Genomic DNA, 22,879 nt, shown 5'->3' with positions numbered 1-22,879 from the left:
CACAGTGCTGGCTTCAGGCTACAGCACCTGAGGGAGTGGAGGTAACCCCAGACATCACTTACTCATGGGACCGTTACTGTTGGCATCCAGAACAGTCATCCTATTCCTTCTGCAGGCTCTGTACCATATTTAGACAATCTACCAGGTGGCTGCAACTATCTCCCCTGAGGCTTCCAAGACCACTGCTCCACACAGTAAGGGGGCCTTCCCATTAATGTTCTTTATTGCCTCCAATTGATGTGGTCACATCATGAAATTCTGGATAGATTTAGGCCATGCTGGTCAAAGGACAGACTTTTTTGTACAAATAGGACCATTTTTCTCACTTAGTGCCTTCCTCCTTTTCTACCCTTCTAGCTAGTGGAAGTGAGTGGAAGGTACGGATGCAGACAACATTGAAAGAGATCACATTCTAGGAATGCAATGTTACAGCCCAATTAGTTCATGAGAAAGCATGGTTGGAAGATATATTGTTTCTATTTGTATGCTATAGAATTCTGAACGGTAAACTTAACATGATCAGGGAATAAGTTATTCCTCACATTTTCTGCATCCTCTGGGTAAGACTTACAATCGTGGTCATCATCAATGAAGCACAAAAACAGCCTTTGAGAGAATTACTGGAAACCAATATCTACAAACAGTGCAATGGATGATGAAGTGACACAAGTCCTATTATAACTAGACTTTTACAAAATGGTACTAGGGAAGCTCAGAAGCAAGATCATCAATATTATATCAATATATACAAGTTCTGAAGAGTCATGGCAGAGTAAGTAATATCAGCATTGCTAGCTTTTTTCACAGTGGGAGTTGTGATTTAGTCAGACCCGGTAATTCTGAAAATCAAAAAGTAAAAGAAAAAACATAAAGAGAAGTTTCTTGCACCTGAACAGATGGTGCCTGGACACTGAAAAGCTTTCACACACGTTAATTACACAAGAAAAAATATGTAAGATTTTCTTCTCTACCCTTTTCTCTAAATTTTTAATAACTGGCTCTTGAGGTTTGTAATATTATTTTAAATCAAACTGGTTATAAAAAAGGAGACCTTTTTTAATTTTTGGCCTGGAGAATAACACAACTTAGGAGCAGCCCTTCTGGCCACACAAGGTACTAAGCAAGTGATGTGTACGGTCTATTTTCATCTTTACAACAGCCACAGTAACCGGTTATTATCTTATTACATAGAAAATAAAATAATTTGCCTATGCACACAGTTAGTAAATGGTTAAACGGTGACTCTTATTCTGGACAACCTAATTTTTGTTTGTTTGTTTGTTTGTTTGTTTTTGTTTCTGAGATGGGGGTCTCACTCTGTCACCCTGGCTGGAGTGCAGCCGCACGATCTTGGCTCACTGCAACCTCTGCCTCCTGGGTTCAGGTGATTCTCATGCCTCAGCCTCCCGAGTAGCTGGGACTACAGGCACGTGCCACTACACCCAGCTAATTTTTTTATTTTTTGTAGAGATGGGTTTTCACCATGTTGGTTAGGTTGGTCTCAAACTCCTGACCTCAGGTGATCCACCCGCCTCGGCCTCCCAAAGTGCTGGGATTACAGGTGTGAGCCACCTCACCCAGCCCCAGGACAACCTAATATTAATGTGTATACCAACCTTGGAAGAGTAGGACAAATCTATTATTCCACCTTAGTTGTGTTTCCTAGATAAGTGTTACCTTTTTTCTTGTTGTAGAAATTATTATCATTATTATCATCATCATTATCACTAATAAAATATTTTTTGAATATTAGCTATGTGCCAGACATCATTCTAAGCATTTAATATGTTTAATATTCATTAAACAATTTTAACAAACTTACTTATGAGGTGCCTATTAATAATATTTCCAAAGCACAGATGGAAAAATTGAGGTATCAGAGTGACTAGGTAATTTACTCAAGGTTACTCAGCTATCAGTGACAGACAGGGGAATTAAATAAGACTCTGGCTCTGGAGCCCAGGAAAATCAGAACCAAATTTTCTAGTTTGGTTCCTTTTACCTATATTTATGAACTAAATTGGGACTTGGACATAAAACATCACAAACCACAATATATGACTGGAAGCCATCTGTGATTTTACTCTGGTGAATAAATTTATTTTCATTGGCATAATCTAAGGACTTAGCATTGCTGGTTTTAATGGCACCTCTGGTTCCTATAGATACAGTGGTCGAAAGGGTAAGCTTTGCAGCTGGTTGCAGTGGGGTCACCATGAAAACATCCCTAAGGGGAACTCATTTAATTCAAGAACATGAAATCATTCATTCATGAGTACATCATGCACATGACCATATATATGTGCCTGTAATACATACATGTCCATCCCATTCCTTTATTTCTTTTTGGCTTATAATAGTAATGTTCTTTCTATGTAGGAATGGAGAATTTTATAATTGAAAAATGTATATTTAGCCAGAGCACAGACATAAGGAATATATCAAATAGCACATTCACTGTAGCTAGCTTGGCTTAAATATAGCACGATGCCAAATTTCTAGCCAAAAATTGATAAGAGTAGTCAATAAGCCAAGCATGCAGAACTATTTGTAAAAATTTAGATAATTGACTAAAAATTTCAATTTTCATTCCTACGCCTGCAACCATGTTCCTTAACATTTAATGTTTTTCTGTCACTACTTAGAGTAACAAATATTTCACTTCTTCACACTCTTAGCAATAGCATACCTACAAAATAGCTGAAATAAAAATGTGATGACTTTAAGATTTACAAGTGATAATTATCTTTTTAAAAAAATTCTCATTCAGAGCAAAATTTCCGATTTGTTTTCTCCTATCAACTCCTTGTTTTGTTTCAAGATCTCACTGATCATTTGCAAATGGTGAAAAGCCTCTTTAGCCCACTCTATATTTCATCCCAGGTGACTGAACTCTGCATTTTGATTTCCAAATGGGCAGATAGATGTACTGTAATGAGAACACAAAGAAGCAGGTTTATAACTCAGTACATTATGGCACCAGGTTCAAAGCAAAAGGAAGCAGCAATGCCGTAAGCCTTTGTTTCTGACTCATGCAGATAAACTCCAGCATTTTCCAGGACTGTAACAATGCAGAATATGGAGGGAAAAAAAATAAAGATGCAAGAAAGAGAAAGAAAGAAAATGAATTAAAACAAAGCAAAACTCTTGGGATGGTTTATGCTGCAGGGTATTTTCCCAGAGTTCTGTCCAAGAATAATCTAGTAAAAATGTGGACAGAGAACCACCGACCCCTGATTTCCCCCGAACATATGCAGCTCTGATCAGTCTGGTATTTCAAGAAAAACAAGGTCCTGAACCCGAATCCTCAGACACATAACAAAGCGCACTTCACAGCTGTGATGCACAGCGACGATCGGCTCCGAGGCCTGAGTGGGTCCCAAGACAATGCCTCCTTTATCACCCAGAGGACAAATATCTAGACAGCAATATTTTCTGCTTGAATGCTTCGAGCAGCTCGCACAACTCCTGACTGAAAGAGAAAACTGAGCTCAGAGTGTTTGCTGAGTGATTATTTTAATTTACTACTTGATGTAAATCTAAACGAAGTGACACCCAGCTCAAGATGGACAGAAAGCAATCATCGTGGAGGGTGGGGGGCTACGGCAATAAAGGGGGGCGCATAGGAGAGGGGCTGATGTTACACTATCAGCTGAGGTTTGGCACAGGTTTGCCCAACTTTTGCAATGGCAGCGTAACAGATAGCGGGGCAGGCTCGGCATTCCGTTCCCTTCTCTCAATTACCATAATAAGTTCGGTAATTTTGTGCTGTTTATTTATCAGGAGAGGATAACAAAGGAAGCTGAGGAAGTCTGTTCTGGAGGCACCATGACAAAGCACCAGACAGAAAGCAGTCACGTGTGGGGAGATGAGCAGAGACACCACTTCTCAAGCACCTGATTATTCTTTCTCAGTATTTAGAAGCAAAAATTATCCTTAAGAAAAACAACCGCAAACGCAACACAGGCTACACAGATGAGAAAATGGGGTAAAATGGGGATTGAGAAAATTGAAGGGCAACTTAATAACGAAGTTTTAATTTCTTACAAAAAGCTATCTTCTCTTCATGTCAATTATTTGTCCAAACTTGCCAGTAGAGAGAAAAGATTTTTCAAAAGAACGTTTGGTTAAGTTCCCCTTTCCCCTTTTTCAAGATAGAAGTTCTTTAGATACAGTGAATATTTTTGAGAAACTAGATGGCAAAATCATAGCTATGCCTGTTTAAGATGAACATCAGATTTCTTTGCGGTGCTTGTAAGATATTATACAAAGCACCATTTTTCTCTCTTGTGCTCTCTCTCTCTTTTTTAGCTCATGAAACACTGCACTAAACAGTCACAGGACCAAGATATAGATTCCTATTTCCAGGTTTGTCGCTTCTGTCTAAAAAAGACTTTCATTTCAGCCATGTCTGCCTAGCATCCCCTTCAAAAAAGTGGCAATGTTTGCTAATGAGCATAATCCTCGTTATTTGCAGCACTGTTATAAATGGCACAGGGTATGCATATAAATCCCCAGGCATGATTCTGAAAATATGTCCAATAGAGGAAAAATATATCACCACTTGTTTTCCACAATCACAATATGGAACCAAATTATGGTCTCTATCATATAGATATATATATATGTGTGTGTGAGTATATGTGTGTATATATATACATATATAGTCAATTTATATCTTTATATATTTATTTAGTGAATGCAACATCGATATATATGCATCTGTCTAGTGCAATTGAAAAATATCTATTTCCTATGGATCTGGGTCACTGCTTTTCTAACTAGGAGCCCTCGAGTTCTCTGTAATGGCCTTAAACATTGCCATGATGGCTGCCATATGCGGTATGTAAAAAGAAATCAGCACAGTGACTCTTCCACCTTTACTTTTATCTTTTTCATATATTGAGGTTGTTGAAATTGTTTGTTAGTATAATTTATTTCGGGGGAGGTAGTGCAGCATTTGCCTTTAAAAAAAGATTAAAAATAAAAAAAGGAGGAGGGAGTTTTCTTGAAAACTGTTGTGCTAGGTTGCCCTTTGAAGACTATGAGAAAAGTAACAGAAAAATACAGTCGCCTGTCCAGATGCTGTAACTATGGGGTACCTAATACCTTGTGGACGATACACATATCAGTGTTACTTATGTAGAAAGATACAGCATTTCCAACATCGCGTTTTCCTTACTTTTCTCCAGTCATTTCTATTTGTACATGTAAATGCATACATACTGTGTGGGATCCTGGTAGAATTGTTTTGAGTTCTCCTTTACATTTGTTTTAACACCTTTCTGGTGCTAGCTTACTTGTGTTATCATTATATATAGAATACCTCAAATAGTTAGTTAGTGGGTGAAGGGTGCAGTTGGGTACTAAGGATCTAAAGATGATTAGGGTAGGACCCCAGAACTCAAGTTCTGGGGAGATTTAGTGGGGAGAGCTTGATTAATGTTTGTTTTCTTTGGAGGGCACAGTAGAGTGGGTAAATTTTGTCACATGGATTGGGATTAGATATGTAAGAAAGACCTTTCTGTGATCCAAAAATGTCATGAATTACCCTCTGTGTCTCACTTACTAGGGGAATCCCATTTTACGAATCAAAATGGAAGCATTTCATTGTCAGCAAGGTTAAAGTATATCTCTTTGACTATAATATCACAACAAATTTTCCTGCTATATACAGAACTTGCAAAATCTAGCTACAAATATTTAATACTTAACATATTTCTTTTTAAAAAGCGAATTGATGCTTAGAACTTACAGTAGTCTTTTGTAAGGGATATGTGTTTCTCTCCTGTGTTTTTGGTGGGTGAAAAAGTTGACTCAAAACCTGGTCTTTTTAATACCATAGACAGACCATGAAGAAGAAATTAGTCTCTTGACTTTTATGGTTTTATCTGAATGTAACTTATAGACATCGAGTAGCAGAAAGAGAAAACTGCAGATTTGATTGAATAATACAAGAGAATATACTTGATTGAATAATCAAAATAGGAATTTTCTTCTAGGTTATCATTCCTCACTTATGCTAACTTGGACAAGCCTAAGCAGGGACTTTAATAGGCTTTTAAAATCACTCTTTCATAATACGGTAGACCATATAATACTGTTTAGATTATTTTATTTCCATAATAAACCCTCATTAAGTATATTTATCTAATGATATGACAGAACTGAAGGGAAAAGGAGCATAAAAAAATATCTGCATGTGTTAAACATTAGCCCTTGCAGCAGATTTATAAATAAATTACAGGTAATTTATAGAATCATGCCATGTTTATAATTGCATGTTTAAAGCAATCTTCTCATGGTAATTGTATTGTATGGCTGACTCTAAGTAGGAAGAAATCACAAATTTATATTTCTAGAGTTTACTGAGATGTGCTGTCTTTTATAAGTAAAATTGTATTGTGTAAAATTCAGGTTAGAAAGTGAAGCTTCTATTTCAGTGTGACCCATACTCCATTACTAGATGCTCAGAAGGCTCAGCATAAAAAATTACGTGTTCACTATTTCTAGAAGAGGTCATTGCTTAAATTCCATATTAATTTTCAAGCAAGGCTGCTAGAAAAGAATCAATAAACTTTGTATGACCAAGCAAAACTCTGCCAATGCCTCCAAGATAAATGATACCCAGATTCACTTTTGAGAAGAATGAAGGATTTCAACTGTATGTGCAGCCTTTCAGTGCATGCCAGTTCTCATAGTTCCTTCTGGAATTATTTTCACATAAGAAACAACTATGAGACTGTAAACTACCTGAGAAACCCAAAGGTCAAGCCCATTGGCCTCAAAGGCATTATTTATTGTTAGGATGCTTTCTCTTAACACCTTAGATGAGAACATTTAAGTGAATTAACCTACCATTATGGTGAGAAAATAAAATATATTGTGCTTTCTACTTCTGAAACTATAACATAACATTGTAGAGTATGTTGAGGGTCATGTTAAGCCATACTTTCGGATGAGAAGAATGATAGTTGTGTGATAAGAATGAATAACTCATTAATTCATCAAATATTAATATTTATTAACTATCTACCCCAGGCATTGCTCATGCTATTGGGAAAACACCTGTGAACAAAATGTCCCTGCCCTCAAGGAATTTATACTTCAGTTTTAGAAGCAAAAAGTAAAATCATAAAGGAAAACTATCTCAGACATAGAGAAAAATAAACAGGATAAGAATAGAATAATAAAGGGTGCTGTTTTAGATCTGTAGTCAGGGATGCTCCCCCTAAGAAGGAGACTTTTGAGCAAAGATCTGGATGAAGTAAGAGAACATGGAAAGATGCATCCATAAACAGTGCAAAGGCCCAGTATTGGGCAGAAAGCTGGAATTCACTAGGAAAGCAAATAGAGCCAAACAAAAGGGGAGAGGATAAAAGAGGATGGGGATGAAGTCAGAGAGATAGGTGGAGGTTGGCTCACATAGGCCTTGTAGACAAATGTCAGAGTAGCAGTCAGCATATGCCCGACTATGCTATGGTAACAAACAACCCTGAATCTCAACGGCTGAAAACATGAAAGGTTTATTTTTTGCTCACATCATGTCTACCACAGTTAGGTTGGAGGCTCTGCACTGTGTCATCCTCATCCCAGGAAACAGATGGGCAGAGAAACCACTGTCAAAATCACTGCCAAACATATTATCAGAGAAAAGACATCTCTGAAAGATCTCATATCAGCAATTAATGTTCCAGCATGGAAAGGACACATAGCACTTCCACAAACAACTCACTGGCCAGATCTAGTCATATAACCACATGCAATGATGGCGGAGGAGGAGAGAAGGGACAGGTGTGTGTGGGCAGGGAGCACAATTCTACCATGTGTCCACTATGCAGAGACCTATAAATATTTTGTAAACAGCATGCATGAATCCTATGGTAAAATTGTTGGATTTTATTCCAATGAGATGGGAAGCTATGAGAGGGTTATGAGCTGTTTGAGCTGGCTTTTGTGTAGAGAACATAGAGCTATGACAGTGAGAGAAACAGAAAGACCCATAATTAGATTATAACATTACTTTAGGTGAGAGATAATAATAGCTTGGGCTAGGGTGGTGGTAGTGGAGGTGGTGAGGGATGGTTGGATTTGGGATCCCATACAGAGTAGAGTAGAGCTGTCAGCTCATTATTTTGTTTTGTTTTATTTTGGTTTTTGAGGTTGCAAGCCCAAATACTTGAGCTAGTACCATCAGTGTGTAATACAACCTGGTGAAATATAATGGGAAGTGATGGAGCCTGTGGCCAAACTGGGCAGAGCATGTTCATAAGGACGTCTAAATTCATTCTTTTTTTTTTTTCATCTCATATTTATTTATTTTTGAGACAGAATCTCACTCTGTCACCCAGGCTGCAGTGCAGTGGCACAATCTCGGTTCACTGCAACCTCTGCTTCCCAGGTTCAAGCGATTCTCATTCCTCAGCCTCCCAGGTAGATGAGATTACAGGCACACACCACTATGCCCAGCCAATTTTTATATTTTTAGTAGAGATGGGGCTTGACCATGTTGGCCAGGCTGGTCTCGAATTCCTGAGCTCAAGTGATCCACCCTCCCCTAGACCTCTCAAAGTGCTGACATTACAGGCGTGAGCCATAGCGCCCAGCCTAAATTCACTTGTTTAAACCACAGTATCAACCAAACAAAATAGAATTTTGTTACTTTTGTAGTTTGCATACTTCGTAATTAAATCAACCTAGTTAAAATAATAACAAATGAATAAATAAAACAACCAATTCCCAAATTCTGTGTCTAGAGAATTTTAGTGACACTTTGGCAGATACATGGCAGCACATAAACTTATATTAACTAAAGCACCCACCAGTCAGGTAAAAATTCAGCTTAATCAAGAAGTGTCAGATTGATGTAGCATCTATTCAAAATTAACTGTATAATTTTCAACTCAACTGAATTTAATCAGATTGTGTGAACCTTGTGATTGCAGGCTCAAATTACAGGTTGCTAAGACCTTCTCCACCTAAGGGTACTTCCACCAAAATTTGGTGTGCAAAATTGAAGGTGCAAAGGAATTACCTGGCATGCACAAATACATAATTCCTGTGTGCCATTAGATCATGGAGGGTTGGGGGAGCATGGGAGTCTACATTCACAGCAAGCATGCCTTCCCAATGTGGGCCATCTAGGGAATATACTTTGATAAATCACGGCTCTACCTGATTCTTTAAACGAGTTACAAATTTGACCTTTACCAAACATAGAAAGAGCTTGTACAGTCTGAAAATTCCCACGAAGTTCCTGTACTATTATTCCTGGATGTATATCGGCAATGGCCATTACTAACACTTAGTGAGGAAGAGAACTCGCAGAGAAGTCATCAGATGCCTTGCTTTGTTTTCTCTTTCTCTCTCTCTTTCCCTCCCTTCCTTCCTTTCTCCCTCCCTCCCTCTCCTTCCTTCTTTCCTTTCCCCTTTCTTCTTTCTTTTTATTTTGTCTTTCTCAGTTGTCTTTTTTTCCTAGAACATTATTGAGCTCTTACAACATTCCAGACACAGCACTAGGTTCTAGAAGTTTAGTATTGATCAAGACAAACAGATCCCTGTCTCTGTGTAGTGTGTTTCTTAGAAGGAGCTTTCTTTCTAATTCAGAGAAGTGAGACTAGCAATACTACTACAGTGAATAAACAATGAGGCAAGAATATTTTGGCTAGTCAAATGGTAGCCACTACAAAAGTAAGTGTCAGAACACTGCAACATCTACTCATTATTTTGGCTGAATTTAGAAGAGTTGTTTTGTATAGATACACTCTAGGGTGTCAGAAAGAATCAGAAGGCTCACTGCAATCTTGTTACAACCACCTGTCCTCCTCTTTTGAAGTTTAGTGCAAATAACTTTTCTTCCTGAAACTTCTACAAGTATTCCAGGCAATAGCTGTCCCCCGGACATCCAACACCCCTTTCTCAGGACACATATATGGGTCAACTCAGGAACTCAGCAAGAAAAATAAATGAATGGCATGCATCTGATAAAAATGCATACATATACATTGTGTGAATGTCAGAGACTGGAGCAAATAGGAGAGAATTTAGTGCCATCTGTTTGTTTCATGCCAAATTTGGGCACAGTGAATGTTTAAGTTTTGTGTGTTTTTTAATGACTAAAAATCTGGAATATTTATATAATTTTTCATTGTAAGCCATTAGCTCAAAAATTTCAAAATGTTGTATGAGCCAAACAAAACATATCCACAAGCCAGATTTTATCTTGGGCTCTCTAGTTTGTGGCCTCTGTCTACACACCATAAATATTGGCACTTGTCCTTTAGCACTTGAATTTTAACGAATGCTGTTGTGTTTGTAATCCCAGTGAGACTGTAAATTCCACGAAGGTGTGCCACTTATACATCGCATCACATCGCCCAGTCCAGTATTTGTCACTGGGGTCGCTGGGACAGTAGTGTAGGATGAGCAGGAACACAGTCCCAGATCACCTAGGTTCAAATCCTTGCTATGCTGTTTACTAGCTATGTGACTATAGGCAATTTTCTTAATTTATTTGTGCCTCAGTTTTCTTAATTGTTAAATGGGGGTGATACCAATTATACCCATCTCGTGGGGTATGAGGATTAAATGACTTCATATTCATAAAGCACTTAAAATAACACCAGGAACATAGTAAGAACTCTGTAAATTTTCATATAAGTTAAAATAAATATGTAAATAATATATTTGTTACCTAGAACTGAGTCATCTACTTCTAATTTCATGTGGAGATAAAAACTTATCTGGAAAATAAGAATCCTTTATTTTTATTTATATAAAGAACCAAAGGTATAAGCATCTGACCCAAAGACTATCAAGGAATGTAAATCTATTCCGAATTTTTTTTTCATATTGCTTTCTTTTTATTTACTTATATTTAAATTTTTTTAAAGATATTTTTGTTAGAAAACTAACATAAATATTCTTAACTTTTGAATACTAAGCCACAGGTGTATATGCTTACAAAACAGCTGATGAACATCTGGGCCACTTAGTGTCCTGATTTTGAAGGTTTTCCATTATTTATTCATTATGTGCTAGCCCATTAAACCATTTAGTGATTCCCCATAAATTAAAACAAACTGATTAATTCCTTCAAATGTTCTAATAGAAATATTTTTTAGTACAGAGGATTTCTATGCTCTTTTTCACATGGAATCATATTAGTAAACAGGCTACCTGTAGATTTCTTCACATTTAGATCATTGGATACTGAGGCATAATTTAAGATGCACTTCTTAAAGAATGCCTCCCAATTCATTTCAAAGAGAAGAAGGGCCCCTCCCAGTTGGCAAACGTATTTTCACCAATAGCTATGTAAGACAAAGGAGTATGTTTACACTACAGCACGCTGCTAAGAAGAACTGTAACAAAAGTTATTTTATTTACTCCTCCACAATATCCCTACTTCCCCCAATTTAAAACTGAGAAAACTAAGGTTTAAAAATATTAGATAATGATATTTGAACACAGCCTGGGATATGGCTGACAGAGAAAAAAGTTTTGGAATTTACTCAACTTCATAATTTGTTTTGAGCAATATAAGCAAATGGAGAGTAACATCAATCCTCAACTCAATCGATCAAAAATATTTATTGAGCAGCTGGTACCTGCCAATATTATTTTGTTCTCCAACTCTTATCTTTTTTTATACAGGTGAACATAAAGATTTTTCAGTCAATAGCATACACTGAACATTGCTTCTATATAAAGAGCAGTGTTTCTCAAAGTGTGGTCCTTGGAACAGCAGCATCAGTAGCATCGGTGAGCTTTTATACAAATGCAGATTCTGGGGCCCTACCTCAAAAATGTTAAATCAGAATCTCTGAGGGTGGAGCCCAGCAATCTGCATTTTAATAGGCCTTGAAGGTGCTTCTGGTGCACACTTACATTTGCCAGTCTCTGGTAGAGTGGCAGAGAGTCCCTACTAAGAGTTATAAAAAAAAGAGAAGAATCCCCTTACACAAGCCTTTACAATCTCAGATGTGAGCTCACTTACAGGCCACAGCATTAGCGAACGAACTGCAAACTGAGACAAACGAGGAAATTCTGAGAAGAGACCTGATTCCCTGAGGGCCACTAGTTTTCTCTGAAGGCAGCATTTAGGGAAATATATACCTTAGAAATCCAACAACAGTATCCAGTGCATTATCTGATTTCCTATCATAAAATTTGAGGTTATGGACTCATCATCTGAGGTGTTATCCTATTCTACTCGAAAAAATATACACCGTCCTTCCCTCACAAGCCCCGCCTCCCCACATACAAAATGTTCATCTCAGAAAGCTGTCACTAGATCAGTCAAATCTATCTGTGTAGCTGCTTCAATTTATTCTTCTCATTGATTTCTCCCCCATGCCTCATACTCTTCCAGGCTTGCAGAGCTCAAACCATTACACCATTCAGAAGCTGGCTTTGGTATTACTTCAAGTTATTCAAAACAGTCACCACTTGCTGAGCCTCTGATGTCTCATCTGTTGAATGGGTACATTTTCTTCCTGATCCTTCCACCTCTAAACTTGTCTATTTCCAAGGATCTATGGCATCCAGGCATATGGTGAGCTTACGTGAGTTAGGGGACCTTAGCTGATGTGATCAGCTTAGACAATGCCTTGACTAATGGCAAAAGCCACAGGGCACACAGACACCCAAGGAGCTGCTGTGTCAGTGCTCTACGCAGTAAACCAGATCCATCCCAATAGTTTCATGGTCACTGAGCTTAGGATCATCATTCCAAGAAGGAAGAAATAAAGAGAGAGAGAGAGAAAAACAAGAGAACACGAGATTGTTTTCTTATTTTTCCAAATTCCTAGTTTGCTCTACTATGGTTTTATTTAAATTCTAAACATGAAGAACACCTTTTATTTGTATGTTTGAAGCAGACTGCTAGTTTTAAAAAATTAATCACAGCTTTTCTAGAGGCAGGAGGATGGTCAAGATGAACCACAGCAGTGCCTTGCAGCCTTGCGACACCCATTTTTAAAGCTTTATTTGGAATGTGGCACATTATAATTGACAGACTTGACAAGCATTCTGGTTTCATGGGCTGCATGTCAGGATTCCTGCCCTATATTTCCATATCACCGAGCACTTCCAGTGTGTCCTTGAACTAATTTAAAATCTCCCTGGGTTTCAGGTTCCCCATCTTCGTTGAAGGCCCCACATCATTTGCCATGAACTTGCAGAATGTTCGTAAGCATACAGTATGCTCTCCTCCAGCTTTGAGAGATGTCTTATCTCTTTACCCACAATGTTGATAACTCTTTGCTTATCCTTCAGAGAGAGCAACTCATATTGTATATCTCATCCCCCTAAAATAACATGAGAACTGCATCAACGAGTTAAAAAAATTGAGAACTGCTGTTTTAGAGCCACAACCCCAATTTGACTACATTATTTTTTTTGTTTTCAACTTTGTTTTTTACATCATGTATGTGGGTAAACAGCGTACATTTTCTTAAGACTTTTTAAAGCTGGTACTTAAGGCTTTGAAGTTTGCTCTTTCCCCTCAAATTTTGTGAGTTTTAATTAATTTCTCAAGGGGGAAGGAAGTTCAGAATATCTGATAGCATCAGATTCCAGTTCCTCCCATTGATTTGTGGCAAACAGAATACCTTTAAAATAAATGGTATATTTTGAAAACAGAAATTTATTTCACATACTGCAGTAAGACAGAACAAACAGCTCATCTTGCTATATGCATAAAGAAGCAAAATGTAATTGATAAAGATAATCAGATGTTGCCAGGTTGTTTTAAATAGCTATGAAAAATAAAATGTCTGAATTCAGAAGAGATTAGATTCTTTTTTCCACCTAGGGCTTTGGAGAGAAACAACTGGCATGTGTAATTTTGTCCACATTAATTTTTACAGCCATGGTCAAATAGCCCCACCAGACTGAAACTTGTGAAGAATTTTCTTTCTTCATTTGGCTTGATCATAGAGGAATTAGCTCCCTCAGTGAGCCAAGGTGAAAAGAAGCTAGTTTGGGGAAATAAGCAACATTCATAGGAAAGAGAAAGTTTGAGGCAAACATATGGTTGAAATGCTCTAGTCGATTTCAGATCAAGCTGAGAGAGTTGAGTTGAGATCCGTTGGTTCAGGGATCCAGTTCACTGCACATTCCTACTGTGCCTGACTACTAATTGCATCCTATGTTTGTCAATCAAATATTTGCAATTAACAAAAATATTCCCCTAAGAGACATAGAACAGAGCTGGCAAAGGATCTGGTGCTTTGCTAAGTAGAGCTAGCTGCACACAGAAAATAAAATAAAATATGGTACTAAAAATATTCTGCTGCCGATGACACGGCTAGACACTCCCAGTCAAAACATTAACAAGCAGGATAGGTGGCATGGGGGGCTTTTCAAAGGGATTTTGTTCAAAGAACAGAAACTTTGATCTCGGTGTCTCTGACCCCTCCTCCACCTCTGATTCTTCAATCTACAAGTACATATAGTGGTTTAATTTAACTCTGTGCATAATTTGCCTAAGGATAAAAGTTGATCTAGATTTTTTTAACTCCAATTTTACAAATGCTCTACTTTCTCCCTCCTCCCTCCTCCCCACACACAGATTTCAAGAGAGAAGGCTGAAAAGGAAGGTGACTGGAATATTAAGAACTGTGAGATATTCTGAGGAAACTCTAATTTGTAAATTGGTAGAAATGCCAGTAATTTGTTGGGAATTGAAGACCCTCTGTATTCAAGAGCGAAGCTTGGCAGCTGTGCACTGTTGTTTTATAAATCAATATTACATCTGAAGGTGGTGTTTGAATGTTTGTGTCATTGGGGTTTGTCTCCAACATAGTCCTGTGACAAGAAATGTTCAAACAAAACAAACACAATCCCTTCCCTGTCCTTTAGGATAAAGTCCAAACGTAATTCCACAACAGGGATATAACATTCAAATCAACTACAGAACTTCTGTAATTATATAAAACCCCACGACCACAGAAATGCAATTGAATTGAAGACACTTTGCAATATTCCCCAAGAAAGGACTGTGTGGCTGTCAGATTAACAAAAGTCAAGAGGTGGTGAGACAATGCTCACCATTGCAAAAAAGAGCTTTGTGCATAATGAACAGAATTTGCATGCCTGTTTAGGAAATTAAGGTGAAGCCAAGGTGACTTAGGGTCACATGAGGAGTCACAACGGTCACTAACTAGAAAAGTGAGCATTAAACATTAGTCATTTGGTTTAAATAAGTTCATCTCAATTATTATTAGATATTATTACATAGATTTAATAAAAAATAATAGCTTAAGTGAAATTTTCAACATTATCTGGTTATTACCTGCCCTGAGCTTCTGTGATTCTGTGCCATGATTTTGGTTGCTATATCAGAAAGGAGAGTTGAGGCTGAGCTGCTTTTTGATTGTTGTCAATTCCTCCATCATTGAGATACAGCCCACTTGCACAGTTATGACCAGGGTAAACCATGAAGAATGGGCAATGGGGCATTTAGTACATTAACTCATTTTCATAGGCAAAACCGGCTACGTGATCAGGAAGGAAAAAAAAATGAAGTGTCATTGCCATTCTGGCCTTCTTTAACCCAAAGAACTATCTCATAGAGTTTACAAACAAAATAGGTCATGCCAAGGATTCTAAAAACACCAGTCCAAGCCAAGGATGGAGCGAAATGCCTCTACTGCTCCGGTTCAGTGGTTTTAAAATTGTTTTAAATCATATTGTCCATCAGTAAAATATTTTCGAGCACACATCTCCAATATTTCTGCAATTGTACTACTAGATTAGATATATTACAAAGCATTATCAAACAGAAAATGTTAAAGGACAGGATAAAAAGTAATTAGAAATCAATGCTATCTTCCTGAATTCTATCTTCTGTAAACTAGAAGATTAACACACTCCATTCTCAACAGAGGAGAGGCAGATGAAATTGGCAGGACCCCAGGTTTTCCTGAGTGGTCTGGGTCTAGCTAAACTGGAACAGAGAAGCAAGTGGGAAACCTCTTTTGCCGTCACTGAACACCAGCACTAAGCCGAGGATTAAGTAGGGGAAATGGTTGTACTTAGACTTGCAAAACTGCATGTGGAACACTCTTGTTTCATTTTGATTCCATCTGCACTGAACCACAGAAACTCAGAGCCTGCTAATAACCAGATGAAAATCAAAAAATTCTCTCAAACAATTCTTTTTGATTATGCCCAAGTGCCATCTAATAATGGTTGAGATTGATTTATTAAAAAAATAAATAAATAACTAATTTGCTCAACGTGCTTGGTATGGGGGAGAGGGAGAAAGATGCAGATGAATGTGAGTGTGTGTGCGTGTGTGTGTGTGTGTGTGTGTGTGACAGAGAGAGAGAAATCCCAGGGGTATCTTGGTGGAGGGGAGAGAAAGAAAAACCAACTTGACTTTGGCAGAAATTCCTGGCCTTGCCACGTGCAAGTTGTGCTACTCGGAAGCTAAAACGAGTTGACCAGGCAGAGCTCACTTAGACCTTGTTGCAGTTACTTCTGTTCAAAATGGGGACAACAAAGTCTATTTTGCAGAGTCATTGTGAGCAGTAGGAATTGTTTTTATAAAGTGACTCACACAGCACTTTATAGCAGTTGCTCAATAAATGGTGGCCGCTCTTGTTACATAACTGGACAAGACAATAAATCCTAGACTTTGCCAAGAATACCCATTCAGTATTCAAGTGCACCAACAGTATATGGCAATCACGAGAATATGTTTTTACTTTAGAATTCAAATTCATTTTATTTCCATGATCACATTTAATCTTCACAATGAATTTGAAAGATAGAACAAGTGTAATTATCCCCATTTTACAGACACAGAAAGGTTGATAAATTATTGACATTCAGTGGTAGAGCTTACAATCAATCACTCAGAACTCCTGCTTTCTATACCAGCAATGGGAAGGAAGCAGACATATTTGGCATATGTTACTTTCTATTAAGTAACTCAACCTCATAAACTGTGTATGCATATATGGGTTTAAAAATTTTTTCATCTAAAGTCAACTCGGTTTAGCCCAGTCTTTTCCTCTCTCTCTCTCTCTCCAGTCTCTTCATCACCCAACACATTCCTTGCTAATAAAACAAATATCACAATATGATGAATTGAAGAAATGAAAAAAGCATCTGTTACATGTGCTCTCCATTAAAACTTTGCTTTGCTTTGGCTGTTATTTTGAGACATAATAAATAGCAAATGCCTATATCTTCTGCTAAGTATATGTTTTTGTTTTTGTTTCTCTTCCACCAACTTGAAAGTTGAATGATGTCAATATAGTTTACAAAACAGACAGTGGGGGGAGGGGAGAGATTGAGAGATAGAGAGAGAGAAAAGAAAACAAACAAACAAAAAAACCCAGAGGCGTTTCATATCCACCACCCTCAGCTCTCCCACATAACAAATAATGTGACAAACAATGCACTGCACTTAAGAAATATTGACTGATTTCCTGGCTGTTTTGAAGCAGGATAGAAAGCCTGTTGTTCATTATCTCCATTTGGGTGTCTATACTAGTTTGAATGGTGTTCCCCAAAAATTCATGTCCAATGGAACCTCAGAATGTTACCTTATTTAGAAATAGGGGTTTTATAGATATAATTAGTTTAAATAAGGTCATACTGGATTAGGGTGGCCCTAAATTTATTATGAGCTGGTGTCCTTACAAGAAGAGAAGAGGACAAACAGAACCAGAGACACACACAAGGGAAGAGGGTCATCTGGGGATGGAGGCAGAAATTCGAGTGACGTAGCTATCAGACAAGGGATGCCAGGGATTCTCAGCAACCACAGAAGCTAGGAAGAGGCAAGGGAGTTTCTACCCTAGAGTCTTTGGATGGAGTGCAGCCCTGCTGACCCCTTGCTTTTGGACTTCTAGCCTCTAGGACTGTGACAGGATAAAATTTCTGTTTTGACTACTCAGCTTACAGCAATTTGTTATGGCAGCCCTAGGTAATAATGCAGTGTCCAAATGTATTACTGTTATAGAAATGAACTTGTGTGTTCATGTTTTATGCCATGTCTTAGTGGCTATTTAATTCCTTAAGGTAACTGTCCCCATGCAATTTGATAAGAACACTGACAGACACCAAGAGTCCAGGTCATTTCTATCTTCATTTAAATAATATGAACCAATTCTGGAATAACTTTCACTCATTGATTACCTCTACCAAACAAACAAGAACAAAACTAAAATTAACTCATTAATTCCATTTTTGTTTCACAGTAAGAAATTATAAGACACCAGTTTCCAAAGTAACTATAAGCTTTGGATTTTAGATTTGTGTGCTATTTTCCTTTGTACAACATTTCAAATATAACTTTATGGCCCAGCACTGTTAGCCAAATGTTAACCTTCACCCACAAATCCCAAAGACCTGTTAGGATCAAAAACTGATTTGGGTTCCTGCTAGAACTTCTCTACCTGCACATCATAATTTTGACCTCAGTCCTGACCAAGTCACCTTCCCAGATTACACGCCCCTCATAACTTCTTAAACAGATGCCTTTGTAATACTTATAACCTTTTCCACACTTTTGAGTACGTATGTCTGGGGTGAAGGAGAGAATCTGAAGCTGTATTCTCACAGCTTCAGGATACATAGAGATACAGATCTATTTTTTTTTTAAGTAAGGCATTTTCCGAAGAACAGATGCTGAAAGTCTTCTGCCTCCAACACCCTTCTTGCAGCATTTTAGCACACAATGAAGCCTCTTTCTAACATGGTGATGAAGTCTTTTGAGGGGTTCTGGGGCTGGGAATTTTGCTTACTTTGCTCTTATGCTGTTTTCCAGCAGGCCATTTCTATGTATTTTAATTCCATGGTCCTTATAATTTGTCGAGGGTCCTCTCCCAGCACATCATGGGAACAATATTACTAAAGATTAGGCAGAGTGGAGAGAATTAACATGGCTGTCATCTTTTGGATGTTTACTATTTGCTAAGCACTGCAGTATACGCTCCATATACTTATCTCTTTATTTCTCACCTCTGAGTTAAGCATTATCATCCTCTTTATAAATAAAACAACTGAAGCTCAGAGAGGTGAAGTGATTTGACCACTAATAGCTCATAGCTAATCAAATGCACTTTATTTCAGTCATCTAGACAGCCTGAAAAGATTGCTGTACATCATGAAAGCTGGGGGATCTCTAGAAAACCCTTGGATAAGCGCTGCCTGAGGCCGGGAACCAGACCTGGATAGAGGTAGACAGGTCGGGGGAGGCCTCCAATGCCTGTAGTTAGGAAAGAGAGTCCTGTATGCTAAGGCTTAATTGAAAATCCACTAACAAAGAGATGCCAGTGTTCACTGACAACCATACTGGCCAGAGAAAACACCCTTAGTGTATTTGGCAGCATATGGTATATGTAACACATGTGAGTCAGATGCTTTTAAATCCAGGATGGCTTCAAAGGCAAAAATATCAGGATTTGTAAAGAGCTTTAGATCTACTCAGAATCCCATGTGAAGGTCAGCTGAGGCCTCTACAGCAAGAAGAGTCCTAGACTGAGCCCTTGGGGTGATCCATTAGTTAGCCCTAGTTGCACAGAGCCGCATAACAACCACAGACCTTGGTGGTATATAATGATATTACTTTAGCTCATTATCTGTAAGGCCTGGACTGGGCATGGCTGATCTTACTGTATTCACTCATGGATTTGCAGAAATCTATAAATCAGCTGGGTAGTTCTGCTGATGTTGCCTGGATTTCCTCATATGCCTGGGGGAAGATTGGCTATTGACTGATCTAGGATCTACATCAGCATAGATGTCTGGGGCAGCATGGCTCAGTTCCATGTCTCTCATCCTCCAGCAGAGTGGCCCAGACATGTTCTCCTGCTGATGGCAGACAGCAAGAATGAGTAAGTTCCATCATTCAACCTTTCTCAAGCCTCTGTTTGCTCCATATTTGTGGTTATCCTATTGGCCATGCATGTCACATGGCTGGGCTCAGAGTGGCAAGCTACTGCACAGTCACATGGAAAAGTCATGGACACAAGAGGGTAAATAACTGGGGAATTAACCACTGGAGATTTTGACTCTACAAAGGCAATGGAGCACCTTGAGGAATTCAACTGCAGTTTACTCATTTTATAATCTCAGCCCCTGTGATATAAGCTCAATAAATGCTTTATCCATGAATGAATGAATACATAAATGAATGAATAGCAGTCCTACTCTGAAGTAGGCTGGGCTATCTTGCTACTTTTTGGAGAAAAAGTGTACTTAGTTTAGTCTAACAGCATAGAGGAAAAAAAACATGTTCTATTACTAAACAGATTTATTTTTTTTTCTCTCTCTCAGAAAAGTTCCTACTCTAAATAAAACAACAGAATTCCTGGGCACTATTCATGTTAGAGTGATATGGAAGCACCCCAAACAAAACACTACGAGAATATTTTGGGGAAGAAAACAGATCAAATTGTGCTGAATCCAGCTTCTAGCCTCAGCCTGATGCTGTGCTGGATTAGCTATGCCCCCGTCAGGCAATTATATGGGACTCGTAACACGTCTTCAGTTCTGTGCTCATTTTCATAATAAACCTCTGGTTTCACTTCCTCTAGAACTGTTTTCTCTAAGATTTACCATTTGAGAATAACAAACACTAAATAGAACAAGTATTTCTGCTGAGTTAAAGCTCAACCATTCACGTTACATTTTCATGGTTCTATCTCGGTGTCTGTAGCTTCCCACCTAGAATCTATATTTCTTGCCTACAGTAGTTATAGCATCTGTCTGGCTGCACTCATCCTATATTTTTTAGCAGCATGGAAGAAAGGTGGGATAGAAGCAGTCTGTAAATTTGGCTGGAAATGTGTCTTTCAGTATGTCGCCTCTTTCGAAACAAAAAGAGTATTTTGAGCCTGCCACAAAACATGGTTGTGCTGGTTTGAAGAGACACCACAGAGGTGTGTTCAACTTGGAGACACACGTGATGGAGCTAATGAAAGAAATACAGAGTTTTGACCTTTAAAAAGAAGTATTATTATATTAGCATCTTTCCAAGAATTAGGTAGCTTAGGTCATATTAATCATAGAGTTGCAATACCAGGGAATAGATGGAAACCTTTCTTCCCCACCAAGTTGCGCTTAAAGTTTTGATCCTTGGGAGCCAGCAGTAATGTGTGATAAATAGCAATCAGCTCCTTCACTCTGGGCCTCGTAGCCTGCCCAGGGGCTCTATGCCGCCCCACCGAGCTACTTTGGAGGCAGATGATGCCTTTTTAAATAGGACATTAATGTTAAAAATAGTTCGGAACAGATCAAGGGCAAAACCATTCCTTCACAGGAATTTAAACCTCATGTACAACTCATGCCACTTCCTCATATGTGTCAGATGGTCCTGACCTCTTAAAACACATATTCAGTCCACATGAGTGGAGATTAACACATGTGGCAATAGTGAATGGTGACAATGCCTCAAAATCAGACAAGTGTCTGGCAGTGAGTGCCCGGTGTATGAGAGAATATTCATGGAAAGACAATATGTCCTTTCTTTATATCAATGCAGTAGAGCTTTAATTCAGAGGCCATTTTGTCATCCTAAACAAATCTCTGTTGCTAGAATCTCACTGTTTCTTTCCTCCAGGGAAAGCGGAAGGAAAAAAAGGTCTGTACATTTTTCCTCAACCTCCCTCCCATTTGTCCTTGCAATCTTCTCAGTATTCTGTTCTTTCTTGACCATGGTTCAGAAACGGAATGGGCTCTGGCTTAGATCCTGCCCTCTGGCATCTCCACCCTCAGAGTCTATGAAATGGCTCCAATGCCCCAAGTCAGATGCCAGTGGCCCCTCTTGAGTGCTTACCTTCTCCTAACAGGAAGTGTGTCTTACCCCACTGTGTTTGTTGATGGAATAAATATGAAGAGAAAAGTTACACATGAAAATCTTTGTACATTTTACAAATTCTATGACATTAATTCTAAGATATTAACTTGATGGCTATTACCAGACATCTCATCTCCACTGCTCCAGGGAATCTGGGAGGGAAAGACAAGTAACATGAAAGATCAGATAGAGAGGCTGACAAAGGTTAGGTTCTCCAGAGGTAGATCCTAACTGAAGTTTGGGTGCAAGGTGTTTATCAGGAGTGAATGCCTGTGAACAGAAGGGAGAAGATGCAGGAATGGACAGAGACAGAAGCCTAACTGCTATGCAGGCTCAATAAGTCCTAGACCAACCTACTTGGGCCTTGATGCCCTGGCCTCCCTCAGTCACTGGATGTGAGCTGCCACCAGAGAAGCAGGATGTCCAACAAGGTGGGCTTGCCACCTGAACAGGACCTGAAGGTGCTCATAGCTGGAGGCAGTCTGCTCACTGCACTCCCCAATGCTGGACAGCAAGTTCTTCCTTGAAGGATAATCTGGGCAGCTCATCTCCATGTATACCACAGGCCTCAGTGACTATGCCTAAATATCCAAAGCTTGTAGAGTGAGTGCCATATAACTGAGAAGTAAAGACAGCTGTGCTGATGAACAGAAATGGGTTTGACTGGTTCCCCAGATAGAAAGCAGCACCATCAATCATGAGGTCTTGGGAGGCAAAACAGCCTTAAATGTGAGGCAAGACAGGTCTGGGAGGCAAGACAGCCCTAAAGCCAAGGATGCGGGTGAGGATGAGGGTTCATACAATGCAGTCCCAATCTAACTAGTCACTTTTTCCAAAAATCAAAACAAAACAACAACAACAAAAATTATAAGCATCTTGAAGTTGGGATTAAACTCATCCATCACTGAAAGTTGGAAGCCATGTTCTTCTCAACCAGGAATTAAAAGTTATAATGAACATAGAACATGTTAGGTTCAGGAATCTACCTGTTCCCTTTGAGAGCTGTGAAAGGAGCCTCTCATATGTTTGATGTATATTTTATGAGCAATTGAACATTTT

At 38.6% G+C, this 22,879-nt stretch overlaps 2 long non-coding RNA genes across 7 annotated transcripts in view, besides 1 other annotated feature; one reads left to right on the top strand and one right to left on the bottom strand.

The window, feature by feature from the left end:
- Positions 1-14,763, top strand: part of LOC105374754 (uncharacterized) — a 150,795-nt gene extending 136,032 nt beyond the window's left edge. For 2 of the 6 annotated variants that reach the window (XR_002959389.2, XR_940127.3), the window contains 3 exons: positions 3,784-3,988; positions 12,374-12,556; positions 14,576-14,763. This is a non-coding gene — a long non-coding RNA (uncharacterized LOC105374754). Of the gene's footprint in view, positions 1-3,783; positions 3,989-4,311; positions 4,369-12,373; positions 12,557-13,135; positions 13,188-14,575 lie in introns of all 6 variants that reach the window. The other 4 variants (XR_940131.3, XR_940130.3, XR_940128.3 and 1 more) reach the window with 4 other exon arrangements.
- Positions 1-22,879, bottom strand: part of LINC01793 (long intergenic non-protein coding RNA 1793) — a 61,693-nt gene that overhangs the window by 25,924 nt on the left and 12,890 nt on the right. The window lies entirely within an intron of this gene.
- Positions 2,657-4,008: an enhancer, noted in NCBI's record as "VISTA enhancer hs1119". NCBI's record gives its function as "enhancer in: neural tube[6/6] | hindbrain (rhombencephalon)[5/6]" and the evidence as "EXISTENCE:transgenic organism evidence [ECO:0001131][PMID:17130149]".

Source organism: Homo sapiens, chromosome 2 (genome assembly GCF_000001405.40).
Source record: "Homo sapiens chromosome 2, GRCh38.p14 Primary Assembly".
Classification (NCBI taxonomy): domain Eukaryota; kingdom Metazoa; phylum Chordata; class Mammalia; order Primates; family Hominidae; genus Homo; species Homo sapiens.
The sequence above is the reverse complement of the archived record's forward strand: the minus strand, read 5'-3'. Positions and strand labels throughout refer to the sequence as shown.